The sequence below is a fragment of the Homo sapiens genome, chromosome 14 (assembly GCF_000001405.40).
Source record: "Homo sapiens chromosome 14, GRCh38.p14 Primary Assembly".
Lineage (NCBI taxonomy): Eukaryota > Metazoa > Chordata > Mammalia > Primates > Hominidae > Homo > Homo sapiens.
In genome coordinates, this window is record NC_000014.9 from 90,873,382 (window position 1) to 90,900,976 (window position 27,595).

The 27,595-nt window shown below is 39.4% G+C and overlaps 1 protein-coding gene across 14 annotated transcripts in view; it reads right to left on the reverse strand.

Annotated features, from left to right (window-relative positions):
• The window catches only part of RPS6KA5 (ribosomal protein S6 kinase A5), a 212,781-nt gene that overhangs the window by 25,521 nt on the left and 159,665 nt on the right, over positions 1-27,595 (reverse strand). For 12 of the 14 annotated variants that reach the window (NM_001322232.2, NM_001322228.2, NM_001322236.2 and 9 more), the window contains 7 exons: positions 27,230-27,355; positions 26,727-26,860; positions 25,948-26,041; positions 21,032-21,202; positions 17,106-17,297; positions 1,820-1,979; positions 251-414 (listed from right to left, as the gene is read on the reverse strand). In NM_001322232.2, coding sequence (NP_001309161.1) covers positions 251-414; positions 1,820-1,979; positions 17,106-17,297; positions 21,032-21,202; positions 25,948-26,041; positions 26,727-26,860; positions 27,230-27,355 — 1,041 coding nt within the window. Of the gene's footprint in view, positions 1-250; positions 415-1,819; positions 1,980-17,105; positions 17,298-20,584; positions 21,203-25,947; positions 26,042-26,726; positions 26,861-27,229; positions 27,356-27,595 lie in introns of those variants that run through there. The other 2 variants (NM_001322229.2, NM_182398.3) reach the window with 2 other exon arrangements.

Here is a 27,595-nt window from a genome sequence, read left to right on the forward strand (position 1 = left end):
CATCTCATAAGGTCATTCTAAAAATTAAATATGTATTTTGTGGGTTAGCAGTGACTCTGGTCCCCTGTGCACTTATTGTTATAAAGTGTTTATAACCATGAAGCAATTTATAAAAACATACCTAAAAGTAAAAGGACACATATTATTTTAAATGTGAAACAAAGAAAACGTATCTGAGGCTACAGAGTAAGAACATTTGATTATGATTCCTACTCAAACCGCCCAACATGTACAGAGCACAGGGCCTTACGTGGAAGGTTGCTTTCACACAGGTATGCACGGCAGCTCCGGAAGATCCTAGAATATCCGGAGTCATCAGAGGATTGGAGGACAGCTGACTTCCATCTTGTAGCCATTCATTGTACCTCAAGCCAGACATTTTAAGCCTTTTGTTTGGATCTACTGTGAGAAGTCCTTTGGGAATAGATATTTTTATTTTATGATTTGTCATTTTAAACATGGTTTAAAAACAAACTCAGAAATAAATCTCAGCTATGTTCACATGACATAATGGTTTCTATATAGCTTTAACCTCCTACAAAGATAATTAGATTTTCCTATTCATTTAAATTCTTTTGTGAATGCTGGAGTCTAATGATAAAGTCACAGTAGCCTATTTCTAGGAAGCTCCAGGCGAAGTGGCTTTTCAATCAGGAGAAAATAAACATCCAAAACAAAGATTCCCACTGGTGACTTCGTAAGCTCCAAATGAGCAAAAAGCACACAGATCTACTTCATCCATATACCAAACATTTACTGGCCATCTTCTATAGGTCAGGGAGTGCAGTAAGGCACTAGAGATATGGAGATGGAGATGCAGAGAGGAGCTATTAATATCAGAAGACACACAGGCAAAACCCCAGCTATTATAACATCAGGGATAAGTGCGATAGCAAGATACACAGGCACAGTGTGTTAGCAGGCCTGAGGGAGAGTGTAGCCTAGGGAGTGAGGGCATCCTGGAAGGCTTCTAGGAGATGAATCCTGTAGGATAAGGAGAAGTGGCTATGGAAGAGGATTAAGAGCATGTAAAGACACGGAGGGATCTGAAAGCTCAGCATATCTGAGGAATTCAAATATCCTGCAACGGCAGAGCTGGGGTGAGGAGGAAACAAAGGCAGACAGGACCAGGTCATGAGGGGCTTTGAATGTTAAATGCTAGGCTAAGGAGTCTGACCTGAAGCAAACAGAGAGTCTCCAAAGGATTTTTGGCAGAAAAGAGGCATAATCACATAGGGATTCTAGAAAAGTCCCTCTATTGACAGATGATGAACAGCTTAAGTCAGAGGAAGTGAGGCAAGGTGAAAGGATGCTGCAGGATTTGGGGAGAGAAATGGTGATGAGAACAAAGGCAACGGCAGGTGAATGGGAAGGAAGGGACCGGACTGCTAGGAGCGCTGCTGAATGTGTAGAACTCTGTGACTGGCTGCAGAAGGCAGGCAGGTGCAGGTATCCAGGAGGACGCCTAGGTTTCTGTTTTGGTGATCTGGCTTCTTAGCAGTGCCACTGTTGACAGGAGGAAAGACAGGAGGAGGAGCGTGTTTGGGGGGAAGGACAGTCAAAAAGTATTGGTTTGTTTTAGATGTGCTTGACTGAGATGCCAGTGGAAGTCAAGTGCTAGCTCATGTTAGAAATGTGGATACCATTACTAAAGAGAATGTTCTGATAAGAAAACAAGGCTGAAGAGAGTAGCCTGGAAGCCTTTTAGAATACACATGGATTCCTCGAGTAATTAACATATGAATGTATGTGTAATGGCCATGATTCTACTTCAATCACTACACATCATATAAAATGTAAAATTTCATTAGATTCTTACCTTGGATCAAATCTTTAGCCTCTTGGGATACATTCTTCCAGGCTTCTCCTTCAAAGGAGAAATCTCCCTTTTTAATTTTCTTCATGATTTCCACCGCGCTGGTACACGTCAAACTTCGGTCATGAGATTGGAAGGGAACCTGTCCTGACAACATTGTGTACTATCAGGGAAAAAGTAACAAAACAGAATGACTACCCAGATCTGTTAAAGCCACTCTAATAATCCTAATAGTAACGTAACTGGTGTAATTTACCAATTGCTACAACTAGCATGATTGAGTTTAAAAGATTACGTGATTCCTCAGGGATCTAGAACTAGAAATACCATTTGACCCAGCCATCCCATCACTGGGTATATACCCAAAGGATTATAAATCATGCTGCTATAAAGACACATGCACACGTATGTTTATTGCGGCACTATTCACAATAGCAAAGACTTGGAACCAACCCAAATGTCCAACAACGATAGACTGGATTAAGAAAATGTGGCATATATACACCATGGAATACTATGCAGCCATAAAAAATGATGAGTTCATGTCCTTTGTAGGGACATGGATGAAGCTGGAAACCATCATTCTCAGCAAACTATCGCAAGGACAAAAAACCAAACACCACATGTTCTCACTCATAGGTGGGAATTGAACAATGAGAACACATGGACACAGGAAGGGGAACATCACACACCGGGGACTGTTGTGGGGTGGGGGGAGGGGGGAGGGATAGCATTAGGAGATAAACCTAATGCTAAATGATGAGTTAATGGGTGCAGCACACCAACATGGCACATGTATACATATGTAAAAAACCTGCACGTTGTGCACATGTACCCTAAAACTTAAAGTATTAAAAAAAAAAAGATTACGTGACTTCTATCACTGAGGCAGTGAATACATCTCAAAGACTTGTAAACCAGTGGCATGGCTTGTTATGATATAGATTTAAAATCACATTTATGACTATATTCAGAGCAATAAGAACAGAAAAGGATAATCCAACTGCTTCAAAAAGATGGTATTGATGTTAACAGAAAATAGAGAGATAGCAGAACTCCTGAATAACTATGTTTTTCTATTCCATTTCCACCATCCTTTCCCCAGGACATGTAACTATGGTTAAGGACTTGAAAAACTTCATATAGGCCTTCCTATTTGATCTGTAATTACCCCTGTTTTTATTTTATTTTTCTCACTGTTGTCTTAAATACAGTGAATTATCTACAGCCACCTGTTTTCATTGTAGCCATATGTTTGAAATCTATGTTTAAGATTTTCCCCTTTATAAAGTTAACAGAATAACAAACAAGCCAAGGCTTATCTTTGTAGCAGAGATTGGATTTTAGAAAAGTGATCCTTTAAAATTCTTGGGGGTGGTTTTCTCTGCTCACTGATTTTTGGTCTTGCAGAGATGGTGGGTTGGTCATCAATGGTGGTGGGTTGGCTGGTGTTAAGTAGCTGTGTCTGGGTATGGACCAGAGAGGACCAAAAGGCGGCCCTACCAGATGGTTTGAGAAGGGAGCAGTGGTGTCGGCAGGAGCCTGGGCTGAGGGAAGCGTGCTCATCCTGGCACTTAGGAAGGGACATGGAGGGGAGGCTCAGTGTCAACCCCAGCCCTAATTAGGAGACATGGAAGCCACAGGATGTTCCGGTGATCTAGAAACAATATGCCATCTTTCTTTTCTGGTCACGTTTCTGACAAGTAGGCTTGTCCTCACTATGGCAAGATGGTGAAACAGCTCTTACACACTGGCTCTTCAGAAAAGATGGAAACTCCTAGACAGGCTAATAAAAATAACATAAAAAGGACAACCAGGAGATCCAGTAAGGTAGGTAATAAACAAAACATGAGTAAGAAGGATGGAGAAGACAGGAATAAGACCCAGATGCAGCAGGAAGAGAAACTTGACACCTCTGAGGTTACAAGAGGCTAGAAGGCTTTGGACAAGTTTGGATTTTCTGAAATAGAAAATTGTGCCTGAGAAGAATAAAAACTATATGCATGAGAATGCGCAGAGTTTGAAAATAGAAGACACGGAGAAGGAACCTCAGTTTCTAATCTGGAGCAACCTAATGAAGAAGATTAATTGCTCTAAGAAGGGCAATGTCAGAACGTCTGTAGAAGGCAGACAAAACTCCCTAAATCCTTGATGTAGCTTGAAGGCAGGCTACGACTAGGTCTGAGTGAGCCAGTCCACAGGCTGGCAGTAACTGTCCAAGATTAACTGGAGTCTCATAACTGATGCTGTGCCTCCACCTGCCCCCAACCTCACTTCTTCCCTCCTGTATCCTTCATGCAGACACCAGAGTAACAGTCATGCAACTTAAATCTTACAACATTCCCCTATCCAAATCCCTTCACTGGCTTCCTTCAGTCTCTGACTCTTGCCTTTCTTTTTCAGCCTCAGCTTCTGCAGTTCCCCATATTCCAATCCTGTGTTCCCAACAACAGTTCTCAGGGCTCTGGGACTTTCCACATGCTGTTTGGTCTCCTTAGAATGCCATTTTTTTTCTTCAGCTGGCAAAGTCCCATGCATCCTAGGGTGCCTAGAGTATAACCCAGTTACCCAGTTTGGGTAACTACACCTGGCTGCAAACAACTGCTTTGTCAATAACTAGCTTCGGGATGGGCAAATTCCTTAACTTCTCTTAGACCATTTCTTCGCGGGTAAAAGTAACAAGTGATATTATAAGGTTACATGAAATCATACATTTAACATACCTAGTATTGTGCCTGGCACACAGTAGGTGCTCAGCAAATGGTTAATAAGTTTGTCTCTTAATGCTTCCCCTCTATGGAAAGAATCCTTTCTTCACGATCTTATTCTCCACTACTGTATCCACAGAGCTATCTACACAGCCACTGAACTGGTGTGCACACCTGTAGATGCCCTATCACTTTGTGGGGTAACTCAATACAACTGTCCACATTGCTAAACCATGAGCTCCCTGGAAGCAGAACTATGTCTCATGTATCACTGTATCCCCTGAACCTTGCGTAGTGCCAGAATTTGCTATCCCATGCTTATTTCCTGAATGAGTAAGAACCCTTTAAGAACACTTAAGACAGTGATATGATAGAGACTGTACTGTGGTCTTGATTAAACAGAGGGATGCCACCAAATGACAGCTCTGATGAGTCTGTGGAACTTGTGTCACATGTGTTCCAGATCCCCCCTCCCCTTCCTCGGATGCCAGGAATTCCGCCCCTTTTCCCTAAGTTTCTAGAATCCTATTTCCCTGACTCTTGCTATTGAATAGAATGTAGTTTCCCCAGGCCTTGCCTTTCTAGCTGCAAGTTTACCTCCCCAAACATGGAACAAAAGCTCTTCTAATATCTATAGTGAAGGAAAGAAAGGAAAGCAGAGCAAAGTTAGTCCTGTTAATGCAATTAGGCACCATTATAGGGTATTTTCCTCATTCCGCAGAAGTGGAATGATGTAATTCTCATTCTGCAGAGCAGAAAACTGGGGCTCCAGTGGTCAGGGACATAATGAAACATCCTCCTCTAAAAGACAACCTACTGTACCTTGCACCACTAAGAAGCGGGAATAGAACTTAGTGGGCTTCTTTGCATTTTGGAGGTAGCATACGTTGCACTGGAGAATACTGCTCTAAGAAATTTATCAAGTGACTCGGAAGGCTACCTGTTTCAAGTGGGGCCTAGCATAGGCTTTTGTTATAGGTCCAATCCTGCCAATTAGCAGGAAGCTACTTGGGCCATAGGTTTCAGTTGCTCTGATTGTACTACAGGTATCTGTGAAAGATGAGACTCTCTCGCAGCCACAACAGGAGAGTCTCAGAGCAGACCTGAAGTATTCTGGTGCAAGGTGGGGCCTTCTGTGGCAGGTAACTATTTTCCAAATAACTGCTCCTGAGATGTTACTAGACCCCGGCAGGCTCTGAGTGCCTCAAACATGTGATCCCAAGAGCAGTGCATCATGTGCTAAGATCAGCAGATGCCTTGATTCACCAAGTCAGGTAGGCACAGCAACAAACCAATGCACTATGGAAATGGCACACTCAGAATCTGCCCTGGGCAGTCCAGAACGCATGAGTAAATAACGTGCTTACACACATGTCACTTGTCTTGGATGCACTAACACTTCTTCCTTAACTCACACTATGGCCTCACTGAAGGAGGTTCCCTATGATCAACTGATAAGCCTGGTTGGCAGATGGTTCACTTAAGTGCAGCTGGCCTGTAGAACATGGCAGACTCAGCAAAGATACCACCTGGCTCAGGATAATACCTTGTGGGGTCGGGGTGCTGTCTCTGAGAGCTGTGCTGAACCAATGGCTGATGGGTCCAGGTCCTCTGTATCTAGATTTTATGGGTGCACGACCCACTTAGAGAACTCATGCTTCCTGGCTCTGCTCAGAGGTCTGTTCCATGAGCTCAAGTGATCAGCTGCACTTGGTGATGACACGTGGCCAGCCCAGTAGCACATGCTCTGCTCTCTTTTCCTCAGTCCTGCACCCTTGGGATTATGCTCTTTAATAACATAATATGACACAAGTATTAGCTTCAGGTTTCGCTTTCCGGGGAACACAGAATAGAATATCTTTCTCTCCACTCCTAATTTTTTTTTTTTTTTTTTTGAGTTGGAGTCTCGCTCTGTCGCCCAGGCTAGACTGCAGTGGCACGATCTTCGGCTCACTGCAACCCCTGCCTCCTGAGTTCAGGCAATTCTCCTGCCTCACTCTCTCAAGTAGCTGGGATTACAGGCGCCTGCCACCATGCCCAGCTAACTTTTGTGTTTTTAGTAGAGGTGGGGTTTCACAATATTGGTCAGGCTTGTCTCTTGGCCAGGCTGGTCTCAAACTCCCGACCTTGTGATCTACCCGCCTTGGCCTCCCAAAGGGCTGGGATTACAAGAGTGAGCCACCATGCCTGGCCACCACTCCTAATTTTTTATTGTGTTAAAATACATTTAACAAAATGTACCATGTTAACCATTTTTAAGTGTATAGTTCGATGGTATTAAATATCTTCACGGTATGCAACCATCATCACCATCCATCTCTAGGACTCTTCATCTTGTAAAACTAAAACTCTATACCCATTAAATAATAACTCCCCATTCTCCTTTCCCCCACAACCCCGGCAACCACCATTTTACTTTCTGTCTCTATGATTCTGAATACCCTAAGTATCTTTTCTGAACATACACTATTTGTCTTTTTGTAACTGGCTTCCTTCTTTAGCATAATATCCTCAATAATCATCTATGTTTTTGTACATGTGAGAACTTCCTCCCTTTTCAAGGCTGAATAATATTCCAGTGTATGTATACAGCACATTTTGCTTGTCTATCATCTATCCATGGAAACTCAGATTGCATCCACATTTTAACTCTGTATGTGTCCATTAGATCTAGTTGGTTAAGTCCTCTATTTCCTTCTTATCTTCTGGCCGGTTGTTTTATCCATTATTGAGAGTTGGGTATTGAAGTCTCCAATAATTATTACAGGACTGTCTACTTCTCCCTTCAGTTCTGTCAGTTTTTGCTTCATGTACTTTACTGGTCTACATTAGGTGTACAAGTGTTTGTAATTATTACATCTTCCTGTTGAATTGGATATTTTATTAATATATGAGGACCCTCTGACCCTCTTTGTCTTTTGTAAACTTTTTTTTTTTTTTTTTTGTGAGACAAGGTGTCGCTCTGTTTCCAAGGTCGGAGTACAGTGGCGTAATCACGATTCACTGCAGCCTTGACCTCCCCAGGCTCAAGAGATCCTTCCACCTCAGCCTTCTGAGTATCTGAGACTACAGGCACATGCTACTACATCTGGTTAATTTTTAAATTTTTTGTAGAAATGAGGTCTCACTATGTTGTCCAGGCTAGTCTCAAACTCCTGGGCTCAAGTGATCCTCCTGCCTCAGCCTCCAAAGTGCCGGGATTACAGCTGTGAGCCACCATGCCCAGCCTCTTGTAAACTTTTTTGATTTAAAGTCTATTTTGTGGCCAGGAGTGGTGGCTCATGCCTGTAATCCCAGCACTTTGGGAGGCTAAGGCAGTCAGATTGCTTGAGTCCAGGAGTTTGAGACCAGTGTGGCCAATATGGCGAAACCCCATCTCTACTAAAACTACAAAAATTAGCTGGGTGTCATGGTATATGCGCCTGTAATCCCAGCTACTTGGGAGGCTGAGGCATGAGAATTGCCTGAACTCGGGAGGCAGAGGTTCCAGTGAGCTGAGATTGTGCCACTGCACTCCAGCCTGGGCAACAAAGCAAGACTCTGTCTCAAAAAAAAAAAAAAAGTCTATTTTAGTGTAGCCACTCCTGAGCTCTTTTTTGTTTGTTTGTTTCTGAGACGGAGTTTCGCTCTTGTTACCTAGGCCAGAGTGCAATGGCACAATGTTGGCTCACTGCAACCTCTGCCTCCTGGGTTCAAGCGATTCTCCTGCCTTAGCCTCCTGAGTAGCTGGGATTACAGGCACACACCACCACGCCTGGATAACTTTTGTATTTTTCGTAGAGATGGGGTTTCACCATGTTGGCCAGGCTGGTCTCGAACTTCTGACCTCAAGCGACTCGCCTGCCTCGGCCTCCCAAAGTGCTGGGATTACAGGCTTGAGCCACTGCACTCAGCCCTGATCTCTTTTGGTTACTATTTGCATGGAATATCTTTTCCCATAGTTTCACTTTCAATCTATTTGTGTCTTTGGATTTAAAGTGATTCTTTTGCAGACAGCATATAGTTAATCATGTTTTTAAATCCATTATGCCAATCTTTGACCTTTGATTAGAGTTTAATCCATTTGCATTTAAAGTAATTACTGATAAAAAGGAACTAACTTCTGTCATTTTGCTATGTGTTTTCTATATGCTTGATAACTTTTTTGTCCTTCATATTCTGCATTACTGCCTTCTTTTATGTTTAGTTTATTTTTTTGTAATAAAACATTTAAATTCCTTTCTTTTTTCTTTTTGTATATATTCTATAGCTATTTTCTTTGTGGTTCCCAAGGGATTACATTTACTATCCTAAAGTTATAACACTCTAACTTGAATTTGTATCAGTTTAACTTTAATAATGTAGAAAAACCTTTGCTCCTCTAACAGTTCTACCCAACTTCTTTTGGTTGTTTATGTTACAAAACTACATCTTTATACACTGTGTGCCCCAAAACAAACCGATAATTCTTTTAAATGCATTCGTCTCTTATGTCACGCAGAAAACAAAAGGTGAAGTTATAAACTGTTGTCACAATAATGCTAGCTTTTTACAACTGGCCTTGTATTTACCTTTATTGACATCTTTATTTCTTCATAAGGCTTTGAATTAACTGTCTAGTGTCCTTTCTTGTCAGCCTGCAGGACTCCCTTGAGCATTTCTTACAGAGCGGCGTTAGTGGTAATGAAGTAATGAACTCCCTCAGCTTCTTACGGATCTAGAAATATGTTAACTTCTCCCTCCACTTTGAAGGACAGCTTTGCCAGAGATAGGATTCTTGGTTGACAGTTTTTTTTTTCCCTTTTAGTGCTTTGAATGTATCACTCCACTGCCTTCTGAGCCACCTTCTGATGAGAAATCTGCTGATGATCTAACTGAAGATCACTTGTATGTGTGGAATTGCTTTTCTCTTGTTGCTTTCAAGATTCTATTTTTTTTTTTGAGACAGAGTCTCACTCTGTCACCCACTCTGTCATGATCTCAGCTCACTGCAACCTCCGCCTCCCAAGTTCAAACGATTCTCCTGCCTCAGCCTCCCGAGTAGCTGGGATTATAGGTGTGTGCCACCACGCCTGGCTAATTTGTGTATTTTTAGTAGAGATGGGGTTTCACCATGTTGGCCAGGGTGGTCTTGAACTCCTGACCTCAAGTGATCAGCCCACCTCGGCCTCCCAAAGTGCTAGGATTACAGGTGTTTCATTATAATGTGTTTCAGTGTGGGTCTCTTTCAGTTAGTCTTACTTGAATTTTGTTGAATTTCTTAGTTGTTTATATTGTCTTTCATCAAAATTGGAAAGTTTTCCACCAATCCAATAGAATATTTCTTCCAATATTCTCTCTGTCCCTTTCTCTTTCTTCTCCTTCTGAAACTCCGACAATGCATATGTTGGTCCTCTTGATGGCATCCTATGGTTCCTTAGGCTCTGTTCGCTTTTTTTCATTTTTCTCTCTGTTCCTCACACTCAATAATTTTAATTGTCCTAACTTCAATTTCACTGATTCCTTCTTCTGCCTGCCAAATCTGCCTCTGAAACCCTCTATTGAATTTTTCATTTTAGTTACTGTACTTTTCAGCTCCAGAATTCCTTTTCATTTTCTTTTCAGGTTTTCTATCTCTTTACTGTTATTTCCATTTTGTTAATACATTTTGTCTTGATGTTCCCCACATACTCCTTTAGGTCTTTCAATGTCTTTAACACAGTTGTTTTAAGTCTTTGTCTAGGTGAATTTATCATGAGGCCTTTTTCAGAAACAGTTTCTGTTGATTTATTTTTTTGAGTGGGCCATACTTTCTTGTTTCTTTATATACCTTGTGATTCTTGTTGAAAATGGGACCTTGAACTTAATGATGTGGTACCTCTGGGAATCAAAATTCTCCTCCTTCCCTAGGGTTTGCTTTTTTTGTGTTTGTTTTTGTTTATTGCTTTTCGTTTTTTGATTGTTATAGGCTGTCTCTGTGCCGAGGATCAGCATGGAGTACAAACTTAAGGTCTTCTCAGGTCTTTGATGAGCCTGTGGCTTTGCCTGGGCATGCCTGGTAGCTTTCTAATTTTCCCTGTATAAGCAGTTGCTTTGGAATGTATGAGTACTGAATGTCTGGCTCCCAAAGGGAAAAAGGGGGACTGGTCCTTTAAGTACTCCTGGAAATCACTTCATCCAGAGGAGGAGGAGGGGCTTGCAGTAATGGTGGCAGGCACAACAACAATGACCACTGCCCTCTTTGCACCTCTATAGTGAGAAGCAGCAATTATAGCAATTCAGATCACAGATGCTCTATATTTAGAGGACAAGGTCCTTTTTGCCCATCCTGGCTCCCACAAACTGTGTGTAGGTTGTTTTAGGAATACGTGCATGGCTGTCTGCTACAGGGTTGAGGGTGGGGAATGGGTGGCTGCTGTAAGTTGAGCATCCCTAACTTGTAAACCCAAAATCCAAAATGCTCCCAAAACAAACTTTCTGAGCGCCAACATGCTCAATGGAAATGCTCACTGGGGCACTTTGCATTTTGAATTTTCAGATTAGGGATGCTCAACCAGTATGTATTCTGCAAATATGCCGAAATCCAAAGAAATCCGAAATCCAAAATACTTCTGGTCCCAAGCATTTTGAATAAGGGATACTCGACCTATACTGTGCTAAGAGCTAAAATTGACCAAAATTAACTGCACTTTACTGTCCAAGCCTTTCCCTGGAAGTTGAAAACTTTCAATGGACTTCAGAGTTCCAAAATAGTTACGTCAGAGAGATTCTGCCACTGCAGTTGGTGGTGAGACAGATTCCTGGTGCTTCCTGCTGCACTGTCTTCCCAGCATCCTCTCTTTAAAATATCCTTCTATTGTTGATGAACATTGGGTTGTTTCCAGTGTGGGGAATTTTGAATCATGCTGTTATATATCTTCTTATACATGTCTTTGTTACAGAAATATACATATTTCTGTTGGATATATTCCTGAATTGGAATTGCTGGATTATTTGGTCTGCATATGTTCAGTAGATACTGCCAAATAGTTTTCTAAAGTCTGCTCTACTTCTTTGTCCTGCCCCACTTCTTAACAGGTATGTTTGTGGCTAAATATAAGAAAGCAGGGCAGGGAACAGGGGCTCACACCTGCAATCCCAGAACTTTGGGAGGCTGAGATGGGTGGACTGCTTGAGCCCAGGAGTTTGAGACTAGCCTGGGCAACATGGCAAAACCCCACCTCTACAAAAAATACAAAAATTAGCTGGGCATGGTGGTGTGTGCCTGTAATCCCAGCTACTCGGAAAACTGAAGCAAGAGGATCACCTCAGCCTGGGAGGTCGAGGCTGCAGTGAGCCATGAACGTGCAACTACACTTCAGCCTGGGCAACAGAGCAGGATCTTGTCTCAAAAAAAAAAAAAAAAAGTGCTGGGCACGGTGGCTCACACCTGTAATCCCAGCACTTTGGGAGGCTGAGGTGGGCAGATCATGAGGTCAGGAGATCGAGAGGCATCCTGGCCAACATGGTGAAACCTCGTCTCTACTAGAAATACAAAAAATTAGCCGGGCGTAGTGGCGGGCGCCTGTAGTCCCAGCTACTTGGGAGGCTGAGGCAGGAGAATGGCGTGAACCCGGGAGGCGGAGCTTGCAGTGAGCCGAGATCCCGCCACTGCACTCCAGCCTGGGCGACAGAGCGAGACTCCGTCTCAAAAAAAAAAAAAAAAAAAAAAAAAAAAAAAAAAAAAAAATTAGACGGGCGAGGTGGCGGGCGCCTGTAGTCCCAGCTACTCGGGAGACTGAGGCAGGAGAATGGCGTGAACCTAGGAGGCGGAGCTTGCAGTAAGCGGAGATCACGCCACTGCACTCCAGCCTGGGTGACAGAGCAAGACTCCATCTCAAAAAAAAAAAAAAAAAAAAAAAAAAAAAAAAGAAAAAAGAAAAAAGAAACCAATCTTTATAAATAAAGTTTTCTTGTTTTCTGGCATGTAATAATGCAACAGGTTGTTGGGTGAAAAAACTAACTTTCCAACTTTGGAAGTACTGGAGAGGATATTGGTGATAATATAAAAGATCCCTTTTCTGGAAAAGGCAGAATTAAACAAACTTTAGGATCCTCTCAGTTCCAAGCTCTTAAAATTTTAGTTGATTATCTAGAAATATCTGTTAAGGATAACTTTGTGTCTGCAAATTGTTTGCAAATACTGTAGCAAGGTATAGCTCTATCTCTACATAAAGATATATATGTATGTCTGCATATATGTATTATATATACTCATATATATACATATACACATACATATAAAGAAGAGCGTGCACACTAGAAATAATTAGAGAGAAAGAAAAAGGAAATGCAGCAAAATGTCAGATGTTCATAGTAATATTCTCTCATATTTTCTCTAGCATTAAAATGTTCAAAATAAAATTGTGGGAAAAAAATTAAAAAATAAGGTCCTGAGAATAAAACACTTTAAACAAAATTTTATAACACTTCACAGGTATGTTATATATCTTATCCTACTTTCTCTAAATACTGTGTACCGTGGACTGAATGTTTGTGTTCTCCTTGCACCCGCTGGGGATTCACACGCTGAAGCCCCAGCTCTCCATGTGACTGTATTTGGAGACAGGGCCTTTAGGGAGGTAACTAAGGTTAAATGAGGTTATACGGGTAGGCCCCTGATCCAAGAGAATTAGTGTCCTTAAAGGGACAGACACTTTCTCTTTGTGAGTGTGCAGACCAAGGAAAGGCTGTGTGCGGACACAACAAGCAGGTGGCCATCTGTAATCCAAAGAGAGGGCCCTCACCACACACCAATACTGCTGGCATCTGGTTCGTAAGACCACCCAGCATCAAGAACTGTGAGAAAATAAATTTCTGTTGTTCAAGCTGCCTAATTTGTGGTATTCTGTTACAGCAGCCTAAGCAGATTAATATACCGTGTAAGCTCTATTTTTATTAAAGTCCTATACATTTCAGACAGGGATTGTATATCCATCAGGTATAATGGGTTGTAATCAAAACCTCATAATACTACATGATGTATTTTCCTGGAGTATTTATTTTATTCAATGAGGACAATATAACTTGTTTTCATATTAAAATATCCACATACATGTTTATTAGATGTAAAATACAAAACTTCCATTTATTTCTGAAACAAATCAGGAGACTTCAAATAAATTTTGTGCTTGTTATGGGATAATTCAGCCTTTGTATCTAGATATGCATTCATTTATATAGAAAAGTTAGCAAAGCACTCTTTTTTTTCGGATAGTTTAATGAAGGTATTATTTTTGTTCATTTTCATCTGTATTTTATCATGTACCTCTAAAAAGAAAGGACTTTTGTTTTTTGGAGACAGGGTCTTGCTCTGTCACCCACTGTGGAGTGTGGTAGTGTGATCACGGCTCACTGCAGTCTCAACCTCTGGGCTCAAGTGAGCCTCTCACCTCAGCCTCCCAAGTAGCTGGGACTACTGGCATGAGCCACCATGCCCAGCTAATTAAAATTTTTTTTTTTTTCCTTTTAGAGACTGGGTCCCACTGTGTTGCCCTGGCTGGTCTTGAGCTCCTGGGCTTAAACAATCTTCCTACCTTGGCCTCCCGAAGTGCTGGGATTACAGACTGTGTCTGTCCATAAAAGGCAAGCACCTTTAAAACCACAACCACAATATCAGTATCACATCTAAAAAAAATTAGTAGTAATTCCTTTGTATCATTCAACATCTAATCAATATTCAAATTTCCCTAGCTGTGGTATATACATAGTATATAAATTAGATCTATATGAATTACATTTAATTTGAATTTAATAAATAGAATTTAAATTAAGCTGGGCACTGTGGCTCATGCCTGTAATCCCAGCATTTTGAGAGGCCGAGGCGGGAGGATCACTTGAAGCTAGGAATTTGAGACCAGCCTGGGCAACAAAGCAAGACTTCTTTTCTATTTAAAAAAAAAAAAAAAATTAGCTGGGGTATGGTGGCATGTGCCTGTGGTCCCAGCTACTCAGGAGGCTGAGGTAGGAGGATCACTTGAGCCTGCAGTGAGCTATGATGGTGCCACTGCACTCAAGCCTGGGCGACAGAGGGAGGCTATCGCAAAAAAAAAAAAAAAAAAAAAAAAAAGGAATCTAAATTAGAAAGTGCTTAAATCAGGATTTCAGTAAGATGCAAACATTGTTTCTTATGTGTCTTTTCATCTATAAGTTCTCAGTTTACCTTTTTTTACCATTTATTTGTTGAACAAACTGGGTTGTTTGTTTAGTGGAACTTCCCACAGACTGGATATTGTGATTATCCTGTGATATCATTTAACCTGTTTTTTTGTCCTATTTTTCTTAAAAATTTGACAATTAGATTTAGAGAGAAGCATGGCTTCCATCCATGTCATTACACAAAGTTATTTCTATAGTTAAGGAATTCAGAGGCTCCAAAATACACTGCTGCATGTTTAAGACTGCCTTTTGAAACCTTAAAGAGCTTGATGGACATAATTGGCCTTTAGCAAGAGAAAAGAAATTACTAAAAATGAAAGTCTCTTTTTTATTTAGATTAATCTTTAAGACATGCTACTAATAAAAATGTCTTCAATTTAAGTCCTTCAACAAAACTCAGATCTACAAGTCAGTTTATTTTTGTTTAAAATGTTATTCACAAATATGTAAGTTTAGTTTGAAAATTATAAATGATGACTGAAAACCGATGAGATAAAAACTATATAAAACTTAAAAATAAAAGAAGAACCATCCTGCAGGGACAACTGACTAGTCATTGGGGGAAAACAACTGACACTAAAATAAATTCCAGACTTAAGTGTAAGAACAAAATAATTCTAGAGAAAAATTTAGGACAATATTTTCATAAACTTGCGGTGGGCATAGGAGTGGAGTGACAATCTGACATAAAAGTCAGATATCATAAAGAAAAAGACTGACATATCTTACTACATAGACATTTAAGAATCTTCTCTGTTTAAATCCTTCTAAAAACAAAATCAAAATACCGTATTACCATAAACAAAGTTTTAAAACAAGTGACACACCAGAAAAAACATTTCCAATATTAACGTCAAAGAATGAAAGTCTTTAATAGAGCTTTAAAATGCAGTAAGAAAAATCTCCCCATAGGAAAATGGGCAAAGCTCATAAAGAGCAATTCATAAAAGAGGCTGGGCACAGTGGCTCTCGCCTGTAATCCCAGCACTTTGGGAGGCCAAGGCAGGCGGATCACCCGAGGTCAGGAGTTTGAGACCAGCCTGACCAACATGGTAAAACCTCGTCTCTACTAAAAATACAAAAATTAGCCAGGCATGTTGGTGCACACTTGTAATCCCAGCTACTCAGGAGGCTGAGGCAGGAGAATCGCTTGAATCCGGGAGGCGGAGGTTGCAGTGAGCCAAGATTGTGCCACTGCACTCCAGCCTGGGAGACAGAGCAAGACTTTGTCTCCAAAAAAAAAAAAAAAAAAAAAAAGAGTAATTCATAAAAGAGAAAATACTAATGTTCAAATGCATGAAAAGATGCTCTAACTAAATATTCATCAAAGAAACACATGCAAATTATCACAATGGGATATCATTTCAGATGAAAACTGATAGCCAATGTACTCCCATATAGTTGATGAGAACATAATCTGATAAATCTTTTAGAAGGAAATCCAGGCACACATGTTAAAGGAAAGTTGTGCATACCCTTCTTCTGGGAATCTATCCTAAGGAAATGGTGAGACAAACACAAACACATATATAAAAAAAATTCATTTGTGTAGCTTATAATTAGTGAAAAAGTGAAAAAAAGCTAACTGCTTATTAGTAAATAAATGGTTACATAAGTTTCAGAGACTCAAAATACAGGTATAATATAATCTTATTTGTTAAAAAATTCAAATATGTATACATGTATAGAAAACATGTGGAAAGATGAAAAGCCTACATATCTAAAGGGGAGGAGGGGCTGAAGGGAGAGAGAGAGCTTGAGGTATATCACTTCTCAATGTGAAGAATATGAGTAATTTTCACCTTGCTCCTTCTTTCTGTACTGTCTGAAAATTTCCCAAGATCATGCATTACAAATTATATGCAGAAAAAGTAATGATATTTGGAGAAAAAAAACACAAGATTTTTCTAGCTTAACGTTCTATTTCTAATCACAGCAGCCAAGGACATTTTGTGAAAAGCATGCTCACATTACTTTAAGTTACGTAGTAGAAATATTTCTAATTTCATCTATTTATTTGTTAATTTAGCTTAAATGGTATTCTGTAATTACATTTTAGTCTGAAACTTCACAGAAGTTTTTTAAAAATGTTTTTCTATTGATGAATCATTTTGCTATTTTCACATTATGTCCAATATAATATGTGTCTTTAAAAATATATGCTATAGTTCCTTTAACTCTCATTGATATAAAACACAGCTAACTTAAATATTTCAAAATAAACCAAAATAGAAATTCTTACATTTTCTTTAATATACATTTTAAGACAGGGAAATACTATTCAGTCAGGCCTCTAACTGGCTGTACAGAAAAGAAACCACTTTGCCAATTTTTTCATGAATGTAAGGAAACAGTGAAGAGTGAGATAAGGAGAGAGGACACCAAAGAAATAAGCAGGTTTAATGACTGTATTGAAAAGAACTCACCAAAATGACGCCCAAGCTCCACAGGTCACAGGACTCATCGTAGCCGTTCTGATTCAAGAGCTCTGGGGCGGCATAATGAAGGGTGAAGCATGGAGTCTTCAGGGGCTGATTATCCGGTGGCTTTAGCCGTGCAAATCCAAAATCAATTATTTTAATTTCCAAATTGTCATTTTCATCGGTGAACAATAAATTCTGCAAGATATCAATGCTTACATTAGTTTCTCACTAGGCATGTCTTGGGAATTGCTGGTACTATTTATGTAACACTTTGTATATTGATAGTTGATTCATGTGCAGAGAGGTCTCATGGGGAGGCGCGAGGGCAGGACATCAATACACTGCTGCTCTCTGCTTGATGCTTTTTGGTATTATTTCAATTTTACCATGTCATGTGAAACATTTTTCAACTGCACCATGCCTCTTCTGATGTCAGACCCTTTTTCTAAGCTTTTCCCTCTGCTTGTGTTTGTCTTTTGCTTCCTCCGCCAACCTACCTCCCCCCATCTACTCCTCATTTAGAGATACTATCCTAACTGTCCTACCAAACTGAAGTTAAAACGTTTAATATTTTTTCCTAACACTATTTACTTTTCCTTTCTGGCACTTACCACCTCTGTATTGCTAGCTTAATGTCTTCATCCCCATTATGTCATAATTCCATAAGGACGGGGACTATGTGTCTACCTTATTTTTGACCCTACCCCAGGGCCTGGCACAGACATAGAGTAGGTGCTTTGGTAAACATGTGTTCATTGAACAAAGTCATAAATAAAATAGCTATATAATATCTAGTATTGCCTATTGAAGAAGACATGGTAGAGACACCCATTACATTTCAGAAATATTTTCTCCAACAGCTAATACTTCAAATATTCAGAAAACATTATTATTTTGAATCATTCATCCACCAAGGCTTCTTGATCACTAAGACTCTGTAGTACTACTTTTTGTATTTATCACATGCTTAATACTTACTGATGCACAAATTATTTTAATAAGTACATTAAGCTAGTACTGAAAGTAAGTGAAATCTGATTATATCGTCTTTAGGCATCCTAACAAAATCCATTATGCCTTTATAGTCATTAAATTATTCCCAGCTCTGGAATATTATTTGCTTTGTTAATACTATTCTAGCTGAAATAAAACACATTATAGATGGTATCACTGATGCAAAGAAGAAAAATCTCCTAAGTCTTCCATCTGAAAGTCAATAAAGTGGGTGGAAAGAAAAACAAAACATTAACTAAAAATTGTCTTAAATTTTCTAGCATACATTGTTTAATCTTGAATTTGTGACACTGAAGCCACGGCTGGGGTTGATGGATGCGTGCTTGGGAGAAGTCTTTTAGCAAGTAACACCTGAGCTCCTTTGCAGTGTAAGGCACTGTCCACACAGAACAGCTGAATGAACCACAGCTGGCCTTGTCTTCATTGAGCCTGCTAAGTCTTTGGAAATGACCATGTTTATTCTATATTAAGATTGGAAAAGGGCTTCCTTGATTTTAGTTCTTTTTTTTTTTTTTTTGAGAGAGACAGTCTTGCTCTGTTGCCCAGGCTGGCGTGCAGTGGTGCGATCTTGGCTCACTGCAACCTCCACCTCCTGGATTCAAGTGATTCTGCTGCCTCAGCCTCCCAAGTACCTGGGATTACAGGTGCCCGCCACCATGCCTGGCTAACTTTTTTTGTATTTTTAGTAGAGATGAGGTTTTGCCATGTTGGCCAGACTGGTCTCAAACTCCTGTCCTCAAGTGATCCGCTTGCCTCGGCCTCCCAAAGTGCTGGGATTACAGGTGTGAGCCACTGCGCTCGGCCAGTTTCACTTCTTAAAGCAGAAGAAGTGAGAGGATGTGGCAATCACTTTAATTTGGTGACTTTAATCCATTCCTCCTATTCCGGAATATGTAAAATTGAGAAACACTGCTCACTTGCCTACCTCTTCTCTCAAAGCTCAAAGTTAGAGACAGTTCTACATGGAGGAGGGTGTGCCTAGTCAGGAATGGTGGGAAGTAACCATTCAATCCCCTTTTATCCTCATCTCAAGTTCTGCCTGAAACAAATTGGATGTATGCAACTTTTCTTAATCTCAGAAGAGTATGGGACAAGTTTGAAAAATACAAGGCAGCTTACTAAGAATGTCAGCCAGCTTCTAAATTTATCTGACTCTTACCTAGACTTAGGATTCTGCCTATGCAGAAAATGAATCCACATAGCTACCTACCAAAAGATAGATAATCAGACCTTAAAGTGCCACATGGGAAAATATTAAACTTTTAGTTTAGAAATAATATACACTGCCATTTAAAAGTCAAAGTGAAAGACATTTTATTATGAAAATGTTAGTTCAAAGGTCTATTTTCATTTCTCCAAAATCTAGTTTGATTTAGGACTATAATTGCAGTAGAATGTCCTAAATAATCTGATAGTTCTGCCCCATTTCAAGTGAGTATTTGAAAGAAAAGCCTTATAACAAATAAGAAGAATTAAGCTACATAAGTTATCTTTTTATCAGGAAAGGAGGAATGCAAATCTAAATTCTGCAAGAGAGGACAGTTGCCTCATTTGAGACTCATGAGGTGACAGATGGCCAGTTATCAAAGAATAAAACATGTGAAAATGAATTCTATACAGTCATGGAACAGATCTTTTCAATTAAAAAAAACTACATGCTTGTTCCTTGTCTATCAAGAAAACATTTAAGTGGTGTGCTTTCACATTTAAAAATAGACAGCTAATCTCCAATGTACAGAGCACCATACTTTCAGTGGGTGTTATGTAGGAGAGTGAGAACTATGATGAAGGAAGCAGAGGGGAACTATCATAGTTGCAAGTTAATAAAACAGAATTTACTTTTGATTAATTACTAGTACTGTGAATAATGGTAATAGAAAATACATAGAAGTCTAAATACATGAAAGGAATAAACCAAATATATTTTAATGCACAGAATTTCATTTTAAAAATTTTCTTTTCCATGTGAAGTAGAGAAGAAAAGAATTCCATTTTTAAAACATCCTCTTCTAATAATTCAAGATACCTAAGTAAAAGGCAAAAATAGTGCTTTTAGAGAAATAATCTTTTGTGGCTTAATCACAAAAGGAACATCAAATAATATTTTATATATACTCGAGAACATATTATAATCACATGATAATTAAACAAAGTTCTATTTTGGAGAGAATATGTATAATCTTGTATATGGTAAAGGATGAGTCATCATTATCTTTTTATACAGTATTGATTTTCGTTTTTCAATTTTCATTATTTTGTTGATTTTCTAAAAGGAGGGAATTTTCATATTTTTGATACTAAAAAGGGATCATTCTAAGAGTTAGAACATTCTTTATTAGCCTTTCATAAGAGGAGACATATAAATAGCTGTTACTTTTGCATTGCTACATATAGTTCTATAAATATTATAGCACGATCATAGAAAAGCACATAGAAAGACGGCATAACTAATTAAACCAAGACAACTCTTTAAGTATTTAGAATAGAATTATATACATTTTTATTCATGAGCTAACCAATTTGATTACAAATGTAAAAAATAAGTTTTCAAAATACATCATTTGGAAAAAAAACCCTCTAAAATTATATGTAAGAGATATTATTTTCTGCTATAAAAATTTCCATTGCTATTTTTAGTCCACAACTGTTGCATAAAGTATTTTTTCCATAAAAGGTTCTCACACTTACAAATATAACCTCAAGATGATCAGCTGGCAAAAAATAAACAAAGACAAATTTATTTTAGACTGAAATATAAAAGAAAAAACATCAAAGAAACGTATTTTCAATTATCTATTTAACAGCCTTGAAAAGTAAAAAAATAAGGAAACCTCCCCAGAAACTTCCCCCATGTTTGGGAGATCTTTAATAATGGTGCTAGACTGAATTACGTAAGAGATCCAGTGATTTTATACCTCAGGTTTCAGATCCCTGTGCACCACTCCAACATCATGCATGTGGCTTACAGCTGAAACAAGCTTCCTCATGATGTAGCTGGCTTCCGTCTCACTGAAGTGCTTCTTTTTCTTAATGCGCTCAAACAGTTCTCCTCCATTCAGAAGTTCCATCACTAGAAACGTGTGAAGCTAGAAAAGAGAAAGAATAACGTGGAGGGCCTTCCTGAAGCACAGAAGTCTATTAACATATAAAACATTTATTGACTATCTACCACCAATACGTTTAAATAATCCCCTGTTAAAATAATCAATGGCAATCCTCATATCTTAGAGAAAAGGGCTGAAAGATAATGTAGCTGTTTTATAATTCTATTTTGGTAATGGAAAATTTCAAGTACTGCAGTGAAATCTTTATACTGTATATCCTTTTTCCCTTCTGTGATGAATTCTTTCATTTGCAGTGTTTTGTTTTAAGAGATGAAGTCTCTAAAAAGAAATCTGCCCTTGAATTCCTGGGCTCAAGGGATTCTCTCATCTCAGGCCTCCCGATGAGCTGGGGCTATAGGTGTGCAATTGCATCCAGCTAATTCTTTCATTTGAATTCCACTCCAACCCTCTCTATCAAGTTTACACATCTTTCTTTTTAAACTGCTGACAATAATGTGACAATAATGTGAAGTCACTTGCTTTAAATAATACAGAATCTGAATACTGACTGAGTAGAATGGGCAACTGAGTAGGATGGGTGTGCCCATGTGAGGCCTGGCACACCCATCCAAGGCCTGGCACACCCATCCAATGGCAAATTAATCTTTTTAAAAGGGTAATGAGGCTGGGCTCAGTGGCTCACACCTGTAATCCCAGCACTTTGGGAGGCTGAGGTGGGAGGACTGCTTGAGGTCAGGAGTTCAAGACCAGCTTGGTCAACACAGTGAGACTGTCTGTACAAAAAAAATTAAAACATAAAAGTTTAAAAAGGTATTGTTTGATATTGTCATTTTGAACCTCCTGTTAGGACTCAACAGATTAGTTTCAGGGTTCCTGTTAATATTCATTACAAATACCCATAACTCACTATGGGTTTTTGCTTTAATCCCAACAATATTATCTTAATAGTTACTTTGTAAGTTATATGTTTACCATCCTTTCTCTTCTTCTCCACCCAGGCTCTTTTCTGTCAGAATGGATAATTTCCAAAAAATAATACAGGAATTATCAAAAAGCAAAGGGCTATAGATCCCAGCACATTTAGAGGCCAGGGTGAGAGGACTGCTTGAGCCCAGAAGCTCAAGACCAGCCTAGGCAACATAGTGAGACCTCATCTCTACAAAAAATAATAACAAAAATTAGCCAGACATGGTGGCGCACGCCTACAGTCCCAGCTACTCAGGAGGCTGAGGTGGGAGAATCACTTGAGCTCGGGAGGTCAAGGCTGCAGGGAGCCGTCACTGTGCCACTGCACTCCAGCCTGGGTGACAGAGACCCTGTCTCAAAAAAGAAAAAAAGCAAAGGACTTAATCAGCTCTCAAATGAACACAAATGGTTTAGAAAAAGATATCATGGCAATATACTGAATTCAGGTGCTATGCATTATAAGGCCAACATCACTTCACAAACAAAATGTTTCTTTCTGTATTAGCAAAACTCAGAATAAACTGCTTCATAAAAAAGACAATTATAAGTACATTATCCTGAAAGCATTAGACAAATTGCAGAGTGAACAACCCTTCTAACAAGAAAATTGCTCCCAGCCTACTAGACATCAAGCTAACTTGAGTTTCTACATCAGATAAAGTTGAGCTTGCAGGTCTGCTACAACTGTAGGCTGGTGAGCTTTAAAAAAGATGTAAGGCAATACTTGCAGTGGTGTACGAACAGATTTAGAGTTCAACCTGGATTTGAAGGTCAGTTCTGTTATTTATTCATGATCTTGGGATGCTACTTTATCTTATTAATTCTAGGATCCTTATCAATAAAATGCAGATAGCAATGAGAAAATGTATGCGTGGTAGAGCTTGAATGATGGCCCTCCAAAGTTGTTCATGTCCTAATGCCCAGAACCTGTGGTTGTTACCTTAGAAGGATGGCAAAAGGGCCTTTTGAGATGTGATTAGTAAATTAAGGAGCTTGAGATGTGAGATTATCCTGAATTATTCATCAGAGTTAGCAGTATGAGATGAGACCCTGGAGGCAAGATCTTAGAGTGATGCATGGAAGGCTCACAGCCAAGGAAATGTTGGGGGGTGTCTAGAAGCTACAAAAGGAAAGTAAATGGGTTGTCCCTTAGAGCCTCCAGAGCAGTGATCCTCAACATTTTTTTTCTTTTTTGTTTTCTTATTTTTTTGAGACAGGGTCTCACTCTATCACCCAGGCTGGAGTGCAGTGGTGCAGTCTTGGCTCACTGCAACCTCCGCCTCCCAAGTTCAACGGATTATCCCACCTCAGCCTCCAGAGTAGCTAGGACTACAGGCGCACAACACCACGCCTGACTAATTTTTTGTATTTTTTGGTAGAGATAGGGTCTCACCATGTTGGCCAGACTGGTCTCAAACTCCTGACCTCAAGTGATCCACCTGCCTCACCTTCCCAAAGTGCTGGAATTACAGGCATGAGCCAGGTCCGCAACTTTTTTGGCACCAGGAAATGGTTTCACGGAAGGCAATTTTTCCATGGACGAGGGGAGGCAGTAGTGGGGTGGGACAGGCATTAGATTCTTATAAGGAGTGCTGCAACTTTGATCCCTCGCCATGCGCAGTTCACAATAGAGTTTGTACTCCAGTGAGAATCTAAGGCTGTCGCTGATCTGCCAAGAGGTGGAGTTCAGGCAGTAATGCTGGCTCACCTGCCACTCACCTCCCGCTGTGCACCTGGTTCTGCTCAAGAGGGAACCAGCTCTGGTGACAGCTTGACTTTAAGCCAATGGGCCTGATTTTGGACTTCTGACCTCCAGACTGCAGGATAATAAATTTGTATTGTTTTAAGTTTGTGGTGATTTGTTGCAGCAGCAATAGCAAACTCATGGAGTACGTGAAACGCATATCATGGCACACAAAATGAACTATGCTATTGCACAAAGGCTGAAGACCCACCATAACCAATTTCACCCATTAGTTGAAGAAAAGACTGGATACAGGGATGATCTAGGCAACTGTGCCACCATTATGAGAAAACCCAAGATACATTACAACTGCATATTAGATTGATAATGTATTTATACTAGTTTGTATAGGATTATATCATGTGACAATTTATATTTTAGTAACTCCTGAATATATAAATAGCAAAACATCTACTTAATTTGTGACACAAATAAAAAATTAGAAATGTTGTTCATGGGACCTGACATTAGTCTGAAGGTCAGAGATCAAGTATCTTGTCTGGGATGTAGTTATGGGCACAGCTGCAAACCCAGAGGAGAGCATCTAAGATCACCCGTTGATTCCTTGAATGATGTGAATTTCCTCTATATCATCTTCAACAGGAGACTGTCTAGTGAGCCTCTTCTTAAGCACCTTCGTGGCCAGGGGACTCATTACCTCCTCTTGTGTCGAGTGGCTTGATGAGGCAAGAGGAGGTAGAGGATCAGGGAGAGCGGTTCCCCCTGAGTCCTTGCTTCAGTGGCATTTCTTTTCTGACTACAAGAACCAAAGAGTGAGTAGAGGATGATGCCATTTTGGGATGCTTACTGCCAGATGTGATTCTGCCTTCCCTAAGGCAGTAGTTTAAAGTAAATAAAAGCTTGTTGGGCTCTGAAGTTGGACTGTGTGGATTCAGATCCCAGCCTTACCACACTTACCAACTGTAAGACCTGTTACTTAACTTCTATGAGTGTCCATTTTCTCACCTCATGGACCTATGGTAAGGACTGAATAAGACAATACATGCAGAGTGCCTGGTACAGAACCTAGACCACACAAGATATGTGATAATAAATGGCAGCAGCTATTATGGTTATGGTGCTACTGCTGCTGCTGCCTGGTCTCACCATGATGTATCATTCCTGGCAATAGCACTCGAGGATATTTCAATGTGGTAGAGAACTGGGCCCCATCGATCCTAGGTCACAGATATTACAACAGCACAACAAAGAGAGCCCAGAACTGGAGTACAGGTTCTCCTTATTAGATTCGCATTGACATGCTATGTGACCTTAGACAAGTTTTATGAACATTCAAAATCTCAGTTTCTTTATTGGTAAAATTAGGGCAAAGCACATTCAGGATTGGTTTGTGCTCTTGTGCCTCCAAGTTGTCTTAAGTAGGACTGCATCACCCCACCTGGTCTCAGGGGCAGAGAAGTGTAATGGAGCAATTTCTGTCATGTGTGAGGTGAACAGACACGAACTGGACACACTGGCATCCTCCCATAGTTCCTGCTGCAAAGCAGGACTGAGAGCAGAAGAGGGGGCAGCATGATCTGGCCAGGGTTCTGAGCAGAATTTACCACCTGGAGCTAGAAGATAAAAGGAGTATCTTTGCTTTCTGCTTCCTATTTGTCCTTTAGCTTGCATTAATTAGGCTCCAGGCTCTCTCAGTTTTACTCTAGAAGTGAAAGGGAAGTTGGAGGCTCAAAATTCCTGAGTCCTGAGAGGTACTCCAGGATTAAGTGATGGTGGGTAGAAGCGGCACTGGCAACAAGCACATTGTAGCCAGTGACTGCACCACTGAGCTCCTGGCCCTCCGTCTTCCTGTCATAGGTGGTTAACTGCTGAGTGAGAAAAGCATGAGAGGTGAAGGGATAACCTGATTTGGGGTTGGGAAACAGTGTGTGGTTGGGGAGGGGTTTGAGAGGGTGGTTTCACTGCCCTTTCTGGTGGCTGGGTGATGTTCTATATCCCTGACTCTGACCCAGCAGCACCAACAAAACGCGTGAAAAGTACAACCCTGTAAGTGAATTAGTACACATGGGAAAAAAAAAAAAAAAAAGTAGGATACCTGATCATGAAAAACTTCATGCAACTTCACAATATTGGGGTGTCCTTCACAGAGTTTCAGAGCTGTTATTTCCTTTTGAGTATTGGCTTCCATCCTGCAAGATGAGACACTTAGCATCCACATGTCTCTTCAAGAAAGTTTTTATATCAGTACTGCCCCAAGACTAATTTTGTCTTATTTACAGTGCATTCAGAATATACATGTTACAGTATACTGTAATGAGGTTTCCATGAAAGTAATGAATTATACCACACACTAGAAAAAGTAATATTCTGGAGAAAATTATTATTTCTGAGTCAGAAAAGTACAAATCATATGAGGAAATGAATGCTCTACTTTCCTGACAATTTAGAGTAATAAGAATATGCAATCTTAATAATAATCATCAGTTACCAAAACAACTAGATGGCTCTCAAAGCTATCAGTAGCTTGCTAAATAATTTTAGAGAAAAATATTTCAAATACACAACTAGTAGAAATGGCAATGGCTGCCAAAATCACTATGTGAGCCTGATTAAATATGTCACTGTCACAAAGACGTTTTCTCTAGATAAACTCAAAAGCAAATAAGACTATGATTTATGTCTAAAATGGATTACTTTATCAGAAAATATCAATTAGAGCTAAAAGTATAATGGACCAACTGATGAGCCAAGTGGTTAAACCTTTGGGTAAGAAAGTCTTACAATATAATACTGGTTTCAATTAAAATAAATATCTTTTAATTTACAGAATTCATGAATACCTAAGAAAGAATATTATATTAAAAATGGTCATACCTTTTGCTGATTATTTTGACTGCAAAAGCTTGGTTACTTTTTTTATGCACACACTTTCGACAAATTGAAAAACTACCTTCTCCCAGGGGTTTGTCCTTCAAATCTAGGTCATAGTGTTGATAGAATGGAGAGTCCTGTCAAGAAATCAACATCATTTAACTTCAGAAAATGTCAGTAATACACAAAGGATCAATAAAATTGTAGAGTAAAATAAAATTATTAATATTAATAAACAGGAATAGAATACATTTATAATCTAAAATTCATCTTTATAGGTAACTTCTATTTTCATCTAAATAATTATTTAAGATACATAATTCTCTATAATTGTAAAAAGAAGTTCATTCAACTTGACGTTAATTCTCTAGGGAAAATATTGCTATATCCCACTTTTAAAATTGCACTTTAGTTGAATTACTAGACTTAAGAACATTAATTAGAGTTGGTATTTAAACACTCACAAAACCTACAAATATGTCATATAAGTTACCACATCTATATACCTTCATCATTGCACTCCTGGCAACATTTGTCACTCCAGGACGTTCAACTCCCATGTGAAACTGAAGAGGGTCTATGACAGCTGCATTACGCTTGAATAGGATGGAAGGAGCAACAAAGGAATAGCCCTAAAAACAAGACAAAGAAAGATAAAGAAAAACAACTTGCAGTTTTCCAGTTTAACACAGATTAGATTGTAATGACTTTTTTTCCTTAGAAAAACACTCAAATATTTGTTGAGATGAGTCTAATTTTATTTTATTTGCAATCTAAAATGCAAGGTTATTTCAAATCATTTGAAAAATGCTGTTCAGAAGGATATAATGCCATCTTCTGGTAGAACTAAACCAATTCAAAAATAAAGGTAG